This window comes from Homo sapiens, chromosome 10 (genome assembly GCF_000001405.40).
Source record: "Homo sapiens chromosome 10, GRCh38.p14 Primary Assembly".
Taxonomy (NCBI): domain Eukaryota; kingdom Metazoa; phylum Chordata; class Mammalia; order Primates; family Hominidae; genus Homo; species Homo sapiens.
The window spans coordinates 96,529,210-96,542,681 of NC_000010.11; the positions used below are offsets into that span (position 1 = coordinate 96,529,210).

At 35.7% G+C, this 13,472-nt stretch overlaps 1 protein-coding gene across 2 annotated transcripts in view; it reads right to left on the reverse strand.

The window, feature by feature from the left end:
- TM9SF3 (transmembrane 9 superfamily member 3) overlaps positions 1-13,472 on the reverse strand; it is a 68,903-nt gene that overhangs the window by 11,100 nt on the left and 44,331 nt on the right. For both annotated transcript variants that reach the window (NM_020123.4, XM_011539976.3), the window contains exons 10-11: positions 3,842-3,981; positions 1,331-1,399 (exon numbers count right to left, since the gene is read on the reverse strand). In NM_020123.4, coding sequence (NP_064508.3) covers positions 1,331-1,399; positions 3,842-3,981 — 209 coding nt within the window. The remainder of the gene's footprint in view (positions 1-1,330; positions 1,400-3,841; positions 3,982-13,472) is intronic.

Genomic DNA, 13,472 nt, shown 5'->3' on the forward strand with positions numbered 1-13,472 from the left:
CAACTCCTAAGGTACTAATGCCCATAGCATATGCAGAGCTGGTAAGTGACAACCAAGAGTTGGTCCATATCTATTTATGTCAGTTGTACCTGTTAGTACCATTAGACTAAACTGACTAAATTAAATGTTACATAAACCAATAAACATCAGAGTAAAAAGGATGTGTGGTTACTATAAAAATTATGTTGAATGCTTTGGAAAGATTCAATAAGGTGAGTCCCTTTTAAAAAGTTATAAAATTCGATGTGATTGAGACGGCTATAGACTGGGGGACAAATGTACAAATCTAGAAGGATTCTGCACTTAGAATGCTTCAGATAGGACTTTATGTTCTTGCTTCACTTTAAAAAGGCTGGAAAACACAGGATCTGTATTACCAATGTCAAAGGAAAAAAATGAAAAAATTTCAATGAAAAAAAAGACCATGGCTCTATATTTAAAAAAAAAAAAATCAGTGGACGTACATTTACTTGTCTTAAAATATTATGTATGTATCTTTTAAAATAATTATCTTACATGAGCCAACTTTTTCAATTAACCAACTACCAAATCCAATTACGTCCGTTAAGGAGACTCCTACCATACAGGAGACAATCAGCAGTGGGGCATCTGGAAACATGTAAGGCTATTTTAAGTTGTCACAATGACTGGTATTTAGTGGACAGGAGCCAAGGGTGTACAGCTGCAATACCTGAGAAAGTCCCATACGGTGAACTTTCTTGCCTAAAATAACCAGAGTATTCCCATCAGGGGGCACGGGGACATAGACTAAGAAAAGAAAGTCTTTTTTATTTTGCAATGGTGACAAAGGATGCAGATGTAAAGCACAGTAAGTGGCACAAGGTGGCATACCTCTTATCTCTAAATACATACACACTTCCTAGCACTCCTGCAGGCCTCTATGGAAGGAACCTAGGAAATGACTATGCATCAAAAGATGTCAGGGCCTAGACGGACTAGTAGGTATTGGTTTACCTAGTTCCCTAGATCCTCAGAAATATTTTTAAAATACAATAAAAACCAGGAATTCCTTAAATCATGCATATGATCAAAGGCTGGTCTACCATTCTTTAACACATAGTTTTGATTTCTAAGATTTCCTCTTAGGTGAGGGAGGTCTAGAATACAATACAAAAAGGTATAAACATCACTTGAATATTTAAGAACACAGCCAACAGCTACCTTTATATAGCCTATTCCCTTTCTGGAATCATGGAATTAACAGATTATTAGATGTTCTCCCAACTGATAACTTTACATGTTCCCTAACTCCTAAATTGTCTTACTATAATCAAATCCCTCAAAACATAAATACATTATCAAAACTTACATTTCAATAAAGATTGAACCAAAAGGTAAAATTCCACCCAGGCAAACAATAACCGCAGGCTCCATGAACCTGGAAAATATTAAAATTAATAGTAAACTTCTAGTATGATTTCCATGTTATATAAACACTGATAACAGAAAGCAGGTACTTGACACTTAAAAAATCATCTCTAAAGGATAGAAACAAACCAGTAAAATGAAAAGCCAAAACCCAAAGAGGCACAATACATAGGTGGGACTTCAAATTAGCCATAGGTTACAATCAATATTCTTTCTGCATTAAAGACTGAGACAAGTATATGAAGAACACAAATTACTGACACTGGCAGAACTTCAAAAAGTCTCTAAGTGTTCCCTCTGGTTCTACTAGACTCCCATAACTTCTTAGAACTCTACAGGCATTTATTCACAAAAAGCCAAAGGGAAAGAAACGAAGAGTCTAGAGACCTCCATTTGAAATAATGTTTCCCAAATTGTGGCCTTGCCATCTCTTTGCTCACTCTCTCCTTGGTTCTATAATTCCTTTTCCTACAAATTATACAATTAAGGTATTATGAGTTCTTATTTATAATGGCACCAAAGAAATAAAAAATAAAATTGAAACTTCATTCATTCATTCCACAAACATTTACTGACTGTAATTGGTAATTCCCCACCTGGATGCCTTCTCTTGTCTCGTATTTCTCTCCTGAAAGCATTGGCTCAAATATTCTCCCTTTAAAACCTTTGCTGAGTCTCCCAGGAAGAGGTGGGTCCTTCTCCCATTCTTCCACTGCCTCTTGAAAATACCTCCACCACAGTACTTACCACGCTATACTGTAACTGTCCAATTCCAAATACATGTGTGTACATATATATAAAAAACCTCACTAGATTATAAACCCTGGCAGGCAGAAGCTATTCATCTAGGTATTTCCAGTGCCTAGCACAATACCTGGCACAAAAAAGATCCTAAACTAATAACTATGAAATTAACAAACTAAAAAACTGAGAAGAAAATGGTAAAATTTGAGAGCTGAAAAAAAAACTTAAAAATCATTTAATGTAGTCTTCTTTCCTTACTTTACAGGAAGCCAAGACACAGAGGTTAAAAGTGATCTGCCCAAGGTGACACAGTCAATGAGAGGCAGATCTAGTATTCAGATTTAGGTTCCCAGGATTATACTCCCCAAAACAGAGGCACACACAAGCCTTCCTATACCTAATTGCAATGCATCTCTGGTGAGGAAGCTCTCACCAGACCTCTCCTTCACTGGCCCTAGTGACTTAGAGGAACTTTTGTGACTTCTGACTATGCTTTTCCTTTAAACTTACCCTTCCCAGTAAGGATATTGATGGGTCCTAACATACTGATTTACAAAAAAAAAATTACTTTAAAAAATAAACTACAGGCTGGGCGTGGTGGCTTACGCCTGTAATCCCAGCACTTTGGGAGACCGAGGTGGGCAGATCACGAGGTTAGTAGATCGAGACCATCCTGGCTAACACGGTGAAACCCCATCTCTACTAAAAATACAAAAAATTAGCCAGGCGTGGTGGCGGGCACCTGTAGTCCCAGTTACTCGGGAGGCTGAGGCGGAAGAATGGCATGAATCCAGGAAGTGGAGCTTGCAGTGAGCCGAGATCACACCACTGCACTCCAGCCTGGGCCACAGAGTGAGACCTCATCTCAAAAATAATAATAATAATAAAATAAATAAATAAATAAAATAATAAACTACAAAAGTTCTAACTAAAGTCTCTCATAAGCACCAATCTAAGGAAAGAAAAGAATATGGCCAATTCAAACTATAGGGGCTATTTTATTCATCCTCCATTTCTATAAATGTCTACATGCCTCCATGTCTAGAAGGGACAGAGCAAAATTATCACCTATTTGTATAAGCACCTGAATATGCTGTATTTATAATCTGGTAAAATATCTAGGGACAGAGACTTTATATATATATATCTCCGTTATCATAAAAATGCAGTCTACTTACTATACAACTATTCCTATAAATAGGGAATGTAATAAATGTACACTAAATTGTACAGTACTAAAATATCTGGAAAGATAGTAAATATTTCAGGTTCTGCATGTGATAGTATCTCTGACATTACTGATCTGCCAGCTCTGATGCTGTACTATAAAAGCAGCCACAGAGAATATGTAAACAAATGGGCATGGCTGAGTTCCAACAAAACTTTATAGATAAAAACAGGGAGCAGGCCAGATTTGGCCTGCAGATTAGTAAAACTGCAGCTTTAGTTCACACCCACTTCTACACCATAGAAAAGCATTTGACTTAACTCTAAATGGCACGATATTCAGAAAGTGGAATAAGGGTATAATTTATTATTACTCTTAACAATGTAGGTTAAAGGAAATAGTAAAATGAACTTCTTAGGCTCAAACTTAAGATTGTCATTATCATAAATACATACCAATTCTAAAGTTACATGTACACAACAGCCTTAAGAACTTATATATTGTGTGAAACAATCGCATAAGATTTAGCATTCTCTTTACCATTTTTTCTCCGGTATAGGACGAGGCACAGCATTGACACGACAAGGAAAGTTGGGCTGACCTGACAGATTTCGGCCAAGTATTGTACCAACAAGATTTAGAGGAAGAATAACAAAAAAACAGATGCAACAAACGGCCACCTGTAAATTAAATAAAAATGTGTGATTACTCAGAGAACAATAACATTAATATAAACAAATAAAAGAGACACAATTTAAACACAATTTGACCACAAAAGAAAATGTTTAAGTTCAATATGAGCTAAAATTGTGCAAGAAGTACACTAATGAAAACAAAAAGGTGTGCTTTAAAGTATTAGAACTAAACTGAATACAAGTTGAACTAGTTCTTATCCAATTTGGTTTTCCATTCTTTCCTATTCTTCCAGACTATCTCTGCCACAATCCCTTTTTCTCCTCTTTCACTCTCAGCTGTCATGCTTTTTTAATATATTTATCCATTGTCTTTCATTATTATAACCAACTTACTTATCTGGCTATGCTTTTTGAGCTCATAAAATGCACTAAGAGCTTTATATGTGTTATTTTCTTATTTTGCAAATGAAGGAAAGGAGACTCAGAGAAGGATAAGTAACTTCCCATAATTGCATAGCTAGTGGAGAGCCAGACCAAAATTTCAACTCAGATCTGCCAGCCTCAAAGCCCACACTCTTTTCTATCCTACACTACCTTGGAATCCTAATAGAAGGAGATCGCTATCTATGTGTCACTAGTAAAATAGTACAAATATTTTCCTGCCCATTAGTAGTGCAAAGTCTAAAATTACAGAGAAGACCATACGGAGATTTTAGAACCAAAGTGGCCAATTAGAAACATTTATTTTTGTGACTTTTTTTCTTTATAAAATCAGCTCTTTTCCGGCCAACCATCTAATTAAGATCATTTCACTCTGAACTTCTGTAAAATGGAGTAGAATTGAATCACCTCTAAGATGTCTTTAAATTATACACTTTAGGTTATAATAAATAGAAAGTAAAAGTGAGAGAAAAACTGAATGAAACATGTGAAGACACTGATTGAGAGAAATGAAGAGGTATGGGGTAGGAAATCCACAGTGATTGCACAAGAAGGAAAGATCTCTTTGAACCAATATTAGTAAAAATTCTTCATTAGATCCTTTTGTGTGTGTATATGTGTTTTTAAACAAGCCAAAGGGTACTGTCATCTCCTTTTCAGATCAAATATAAATATGTGAGAATTACAGAGCTCCATAATACCATTTTAAACATCAGACTCAGGAACTCAATTTATCTGCGTTTCAGTTTAGGCCTAGGCCTATGAATAATATGAATTTATGCTCATATTAAAATACGTGAAATGTGAAAAATAAGCAGGTGTTTTTAAGATAGTTTAAGCATTATGTTATGAACTATACATATGTCGTAAATATGGGGAGTGATAAATTCCATCTCAATTTTTGCTTTTACTTTCTTAATAACTACAAGACTCATAAACCTTAACACATTGTAATAAAGACCTATATATTTTTCCCTTAGTTTACCAGAACTCTAATTTCAAATAAGAATTACAGAGAAAATGAAGAAAACATTCCTATGTTGAATTACATGGTCTAGAAGAATGGTTTTCAAACTGTTCCAAAGAACTCTCAGGTCCTACTGAAGAGCTTCTGGGATTCCACAAGCATTTGATTTGAGTATCCTTTTGAAAATAGTTTCTTTTTAAAACACTTTCAACTGTAATAAGATATATATAGCTCAAAGGAGTTCTATACCAAATATCAGTATACTGGAGATATCACAGCCAGGTTAACTCATTTTCATGCAAATCTCAGAATAAAGTTTCTCCTGCTTATCTCTGTGTATATACTGAACTGAATGAATTTTGTCATTGATTAGGAAGGCTTGTAATGCTATATTGGTCTTTTATTCTATCTCCTTCACCTCATCCCAATTAAGGCCTGCACATATTTGTTCACTAAAAATTGTATAAGCAAAAGTACTACTACAGCACAATGTGTGTGACAGGCAATTGAGTGGCAGCTGAAGTGAGGGCACATCTTGCCTTCTGTGCACATAACAGTCAATAAAGGAATCTACAGTCTCAAAAAGACATTATCAATTGCTTAGCATTTGTCAATATTTTCCCTTTTGTTGTCCAACTTTTTAATATATGATAAAAAATGTGAGCAGTTTGTTAGAAATAGTGATTAAGCTGTGAAACCAGTTCCCTACTCCTTTATGTTCAAGTTCTGGATGAAGTTACTTGAAAAATACTCTAAGATTGCAAGGCAAGCTGTTAAAAAAAAATTCACATGGAATGAACTCATTTGTGAAGAATTTTTCTCAATACTGATAACTAAATAAATTGGGTGCTGAAGATAAGTAATAGCTTACTTTATTCAAACCCCTTGATATTAGATTTGTATTCATCACAACTTTATTGCTCTTATTAAATTCAGTGTTAAAAATACTTAATTTGCAAAATATACTAATAAAATCATCCTTGTATCTGTTTTCTATCTGGGCTTCCACATTATTTTGGAATGAAATTTAGCAGCTAAGAGGGTCTAATATATTGGTGAAAACCCTGGAACTCAAATTAATATGGGGCTCTCCTCTATTCCTCTAGTCACTGTTCAGAGGAGAATGAAAGCAGGCAGTGGGGAGAAGAAAGATTTACTCCATGTTGAGGGCCTCCCTTATCTACAACAATAACAAGTTAGAATCAAGTACTGCCTATTGGTGCTTAATACCCCAAAGATCTACATACTGATCACATCTTCTCAATCTCAGACATAAACCAAGAATTTGGCTATTACTTATTCTATCTTTGCTTCCAGACTGGCCTACAGGCCAATATCTCTCATAAACTTAGATGTAAAAACAAATTTTAGCAAATGTAATCCAACCATATATAAAACAAATAATATATCATGACAAAGTGAAGTTCATCAAATGAATGCAAGACTGATTAAAGATTAGAAAATTAATACTTTCACCATATTTTCAGAATTAAAAAAGAAAAATCACAGATCTCAAAAGATACAGAAAATGCTGTTCTAAGATCGAACACCCATTCAAAATTAAAAGAAAAAAAACTTGCAGCGAACTACAAATAGAAGGGAACTTTAACAAGCTGATGAAGGGCATCTACAAATAAAATAGCTATTATTTTAATTAATGGCATAAAACTAAATGCCTTCCTGCCAAGATTGGGAACAAAGAAAGGATGTCTGCTCTTGACACTTCTATTCAACATTATACTGCAGGTTTTAGCCAGTGCAATCAGACAACAAAAAGAAATAACAGACATACAGATCAAAAAAGAGAAGTGAAACTGTTTAAATAATTTGATAATCTATTTTTTTAAATAACACTATGTACCCACAAAAATTAAAAATAAAAAAACTTTTGATCTATGTAAAAAACTAAAGTTTTTACTTTATTGTAAGAATAAAGTAACCCTAGCTCACTTATTGTAGAACTAATAAGTGAATTTGGCAGGGTTGTAGGATACAAAGCCAATATCCTAAAAAACTGTTTTCCTACATATAGTCAACACTCAAAAATAGGGTGTAAACTGTTCAAGTCCACTTACAAGTGGATTTTCTTCTGCCTCTGCCACCCCTGAGACAGCATCCCTGAGACACCCCTCCTTCTTCTTCCTCAGCCTACTCGATGTGATGATGAAAATGAAAATCTTTATTATGATCCACGTCTACTTAAAGAATAGCAAATACATTTTTCTCTTCCTTATGATTTTCTCTTTTGAAGAGACAGGGTCTCACTATATTATCCAGGCTGAAATGCAGTGGCTATTCACAGGCACGATCATAGAGCACTACAGCCTCAACTCCTGGGCTTAAGTGATCCTTCTGCCTCAGCCTCCTGAATAACTGGGACTACAGGCACAAACCGCACACCCAGCTAACCTTACGATTTTCTTAATAACATTTTCTTTTCCCTAGCTTACTTTATTGTAAGAATGCAGTATATAATACATATACAAAATATGTGATCATCAGTGAGGCTTCCAGTCAACAGCAGGCTTATTCGTAGTTAAGGTTTTGGGGAGATTTTCAGTTGTACGGGCAGGGGGTAGGGGTCAGCACCCCAAACCTCATATTGTTCAAAAGTCAACTGTACTCTCATGTGCCACATAACAATTTTTTTTTGGTCAATGATGGACCACGTATCTGACGTTGGTCCCATAAGATTATAAGACTGTATTTTTACTATACCTTTTCTATGTTTACATACACAAACACCACTGTGTTACAATTGCCTACAGTATTCAGTACAATAATATGCTGTACAGGTCTGTAGCCTTGTAAGATTAGGCTATAACATATAGCCTAGGTTTGTAGGAGGCTATACCATCTAGGTTTGTGTAAGTACACTCTGAGATGTTCACACAATGAAAAAATTGTGTAACAACTCATTTCACAGAACATATCCCTGGCATTAAATGATGCATGACTGTAACAGCAATAAACGATCAGAATTTGAAATTTAAAAATGGCCGGGCATGGTGGCTCATGCCTGTAATCCCAGCACTTTGGGAGGCCAAGGCAGGCGGATCACCTAAGGTCAGGAGTTCGAGGCAAGCCTGGCCAACATGGTGAAAGCCTATCTCTATAAAAATACAAAAATTAGCTGGGCGTGGTGACGTGCACCTGTAATCCTAGCTACTGGGGAGGCTGAGGTAGGAGAATCGCTTGAACCCGGGAGATGGAGGAACAGAAATTTAAAAAATATCATTCACCAACAGAATAATATGAAATACTGGAGAATAAATTCAACAGAAGATAACAAAACCTGAACACTAAAATCTATGAAACGTTGCTGAGAAAAATTAAAGGTATCTAAATAAGTTGAGAGATATACTCTGCTCATTAATCAAAAGACTCAATAATGTTAAGATGTCAATTTTTCCCAAATTGTGCTATAGATTCAATGTAATCACAATCAAAACCCCAGAAGACTTTTTATAGAAACTGACAAGCTGCTTCTAAACTTTATATGGAAATGCAAAGAATATTAGAAAAGCCAAAACAACTTTGAAAAAGAATTGATTTCAGGACTTATAAAGCTATAGTAATCAAGACAATGTGGTATTAGCATTAAAAACAAGACAAATTGAAATAGAACAAATCAAAATGAAACAAGAGAAAATCCAGCAATAAAAATCCACACATACATGGTAAACTGGTTATCAACAAAGGTGCTAAGGCAACTCAACAGAGAAAGGATAATCTTTTCAACAAATGGTGCTGGAACAACTGAACAGTCATATATAAAACAAAACAAAACCCCTCTGGCCCTTAACTCATACTATATATAAAATTGGCCAAAAATGGATCCTAGACCTAAATTTAAGAGCTAAAACTATAAAATTTCTAGAAGACAACATATAAGGAAAGCTTAGTGATGTCTGGTTTGGCAAAAGACTTCTTAAATGGAACAGAAAAAGCACAAAGCATAAAAGAAAAAATATACCAGTAAATTAGACTTTAAAATTAGTAATTTTGCCCTTCAAAAAATACTCTTTAGATTATGAAAAGACAACCCACAAAATAGGAGTATATACTTACAAAATACATATAAGACAAAAGACTTGTATTTACAATATATAAGAACTCTTATCACTCAATAAGAAGACAATCTATTAAAATAGGCAAAAGATCTGAACATTCATTAAAGAAAATATACAGATGGCAAAAAAGCAAATAAAAAGATCTTCAACATGATTAGTCATTAGGAAGTGCTAATTAAAACCGAAAGACAGCACTATATACTCACTAGAATAGCTAAAATTAAAAAGACTTACTATATCAAGTGCTGGCAGTGATGTGGAACAATTGGAATTTTCACAGAATGCTGATAGAAATGTAAAATGTCAAAACTATTTTGGAAAAGTTTAGCAGTTTCTTGAAAACTTAAACTACCATATGACCCAGCCATTCCACTCCTAGTTATTTATCCAAGAGAAATGAAAACATAAGTCCATAGAAAGACTTGCACATAAATACAGTAACTTGATTTACAATAGCAAAAAACTAGTAAATTACTGGGCAAATGGATAAATTATGGTATAACCATGCAATTGAATACTATTGGGCAATACAAAGAACAAACTATTCATAAATGCAACATCAGGCCGGGTGTGGTGGCTCGTACCTGTAATCGCAGCACTTTGGGAGGCCAAGATGGGTGGATCACCTGAGGTCAGGAATTCAAGACCTGCCTGGCCAACATGGTGAAACTGTTTGAGCCGAGACTGCATCACTGTACTCCAGCCTGGGCTACAGAGCAAGACCCAGTCTCAAAAAAAAAATTTTTTTAATGCAACATCAATGAATCTCAAAATAATTTTCATGAGTGAAACAAAAAAGAATATATACTGTATGAGCTACCATTTAAAGGAAATTCGGTAATGAAAATTACACTATGATAAGAGAGAGCAGGCTGGTGGTTACCTAAGAATAGGGGAGAGACAAAAGAAGAAAAGAAAGGATGAATTATAAAGGTATACAACAAAACTTCTGGATGTGACAAACATCTTTATCTTGAATGCGGTAATGGTTTCACAAGTGTGTGTGTGTCTATGGGTGTATGTATATCAAAATTCATCAAATTGTACACTTTAAATTTATGCAACTTATCATATGTTAATTTTACCTCAGTACATCTGTAAAAACACACAAACAAAAAAGGGCAAAAACCATAACCACTGCTCTCAGAATTAGGCTAGGATTCCTTTTGACAGAAAGGAAAAGAAAAATGTCCAAAAAAAAAGAACAAAAACCTATCATCACCACCACCAGCACAGCAACAAAGAAAACTAACTACGGGAGAGTCTTGGTTTTCTGTTCTGTAAAATAGGAATAACCACACCACTAGCTCTGCCTATCTCTTTGCGTTCTTCTGAAAACCAGACAAGATAATGCGTGTGAAAATGCTTTGTAAACTACAAAGTGCTACACAAATGTATTATTATTGATCCTTATTATAATTCATCTTCTTAGATTTGGCACATCATTTCAGTCAGGTGAGATCTTTTTAGATGCTGCCTTCATTATTTCATATTACTAGTTCATTATTTTATATTACTAGTTTCTTCCCTAGTCTCACATCCCTTTTCAATTGAATCAGCAGACCACCATGTCTCTAAGTTATTAATCATCTTTTGAATAGGTCAGAATCAAGAATATCTGTCACCTTCTACTAAAGGATAGCATGTACATACTATGGCTAATACTTCGATACTCTTATAAGGTAGAACCCACTTTCTTCCTTTCCCTCCTGGAAAAGTAAATTTGCCCATCCAGTTTTACAGCACCTCTGCTCTCACACAGTTATTCAAACATTACTTAATGTGATCTCTCGGTATCTCTAAAAGATCATTTTTATGAGCAACAAGACTTTCAAGCTAAGGCAGCTGGGTACTCCTGTACAATCAACTGCCTTGCGTATCTTAGGCTTCACTTCCCTCTTACCAGGGAATCTTTCCTCTTACTTTTTTTTGTTTATGGGTTATATTTTATTTGATGAAAAATAAAGAGGAAGAATGGGATAGAGCCATTCTTTTTTTTTTTTTACTTTGTTACATCACTGATCCCACACAATGAGTCTTTGATCTTGATATCTTTATAAAATCCTTTTGCTTGCTTTAGCGTTTGTGAACAGCTCACCTTAGATGATGAAGCTTTTCTAACATTGGTTTTATATTACCTTTCTTTTTTTTTTTTTTTTTTTTTTTTTGAGATGGAGTCTCACTCTTGTTGCCCAGGCTGGAGTGCAGTGGCACGATCTCAGCTCACTGCAACCTCTGCCTCCCGGGTTCAAGCGATTCTCCTGCCTCAGCCTCCCGAGTAGCTGGAATTACAAGTGCCCACCACCACACCTGGCTAATTTTTGTATTTTTAGTAGAGACGGGGTTTCACCACATTGGCCATGGTGATCTCAGGTGATCCACCCACCTCAGCCTCCCGAAGTGCTGGGATTACAGGCAGGAGCCACTGCGCCCGGCCAGTTTTACAAATCTTTCAAGAAAAGAAAGGTGATTAGTTCCCATGCTAACCTGCCTCTGTGAGTTTTAAAACTCTGTAATTTGGTTCTTTGTCCTTTGGAATCCTACAATAAGATGAAAACTTAGGATCTGAGATTTACAGCCCACGAAAGAAAAGACTTTGTGTCTAAAACCCTTTTCCAGAACATCTTGGCGAATCCTTTCTCATTCCCAAGGAACTCTTACAGGACCAAAACCTTTGGGTAGAGCATCTAAATCATTCTTGGATAAATTCCCAAAATAAAAAGTTTTTAGCTTTCCAGAATCAATCTAATTTTTTTTTTCTTTTTTTGAGACAGAGTCTCACTCTGCCACCCAGGCTGGAGTGCAATGGCGTGATCTCAGCTCACTGCAACCTCCGCCTCCTGGGTTCAAGTGATCAAGCGATTCTCCTGCCTCAGCCTCCCGAGTAGCTGGGATTACAGGCCTGCACTACCATGCCCAGCTAATTTTTGCTTTTTCAGTAGAGATAGGGTTTCACCATGTTGGCCATGCTGATCTCAAACTCCTGACCTCAAGTGATCCGCCCACCTCAGCCTCCCATGCTGGAATTACAGGCGTGAGCCATCATGCCCAGCCAGATGTGGAAACTTTCATAGAACAGAGAACTAGAGTGAAGATCACCCAGAAAAAGGCCTCAATAGCCAAGAGATCAAAGGAATGGGGGACAGAAAGAGATAAGACCTGGGGAAGAGCACTTAGGAGGATCTGAAGACTCTGATTCTCAAATTAAGGTATTCAGTTAGTAGTGGTACCTGGCTTCTCAGACACATGGCACCTATGGTCTGGGAGCCTTTCGGCTCACAGATCCATCCCCAGATCCCAGGAACTGGAATCAGGTAAACACTACAGATTGGGTTTAAAGCAGGACAGACTAATTAGCTTGAAAGAAAGCCCTGAGCATTAAAATTTTTTAAATCCCCAAGTGATTCTAATGTGTGCCCAGGGTTGAGAATCACTGAGTTTATGAGACTATGTAACCATTTCCTTCAGAATGTCAAGAAGTCAAACAACTAAAACCACAAACTTAAGTAGTTCAAGTACTTAATGAAGAGCTGGGTGAAACATTCACTTCAAGTTCTTCAAGTTCATGTTCTAAACAAGTTTTCATACTCTTAAACGGAGAAAAGGAGACGGTAAAGTACACACCTAATTAAAACATGAGGCCAGGGGAATACCCTTCCCCCAGTATTCCTTCATTAGACTAATGCAAATTAAGAACATAATATTGTAGGAGCCTGCCAAGTACCAACAGTTAGTCTTTTACTCACTAAAGAACAATTTTATAAACCTTCTCTGGCTCAGCACAGACTTTAAATATTATATTCTAATAATTTGTAATTATTAAATTATCTAAAGGCAAATTACACTGAATATTAACATTTAAAACTCCATTTACAAATTGGTAAAAATTTACAATTTTAGCGAGACAAAGCAACTTTGAAATACCATTTTTACCAATATCAAATTCAAAACTTTCTGAGAAAAATTTTAACAGAATCAAAATTTTAATTTTTAAAGCACTATGAAAATAATCAATTCAGCAGATGTTCTTTGAGAAGTAACCTGACTCACTCTAT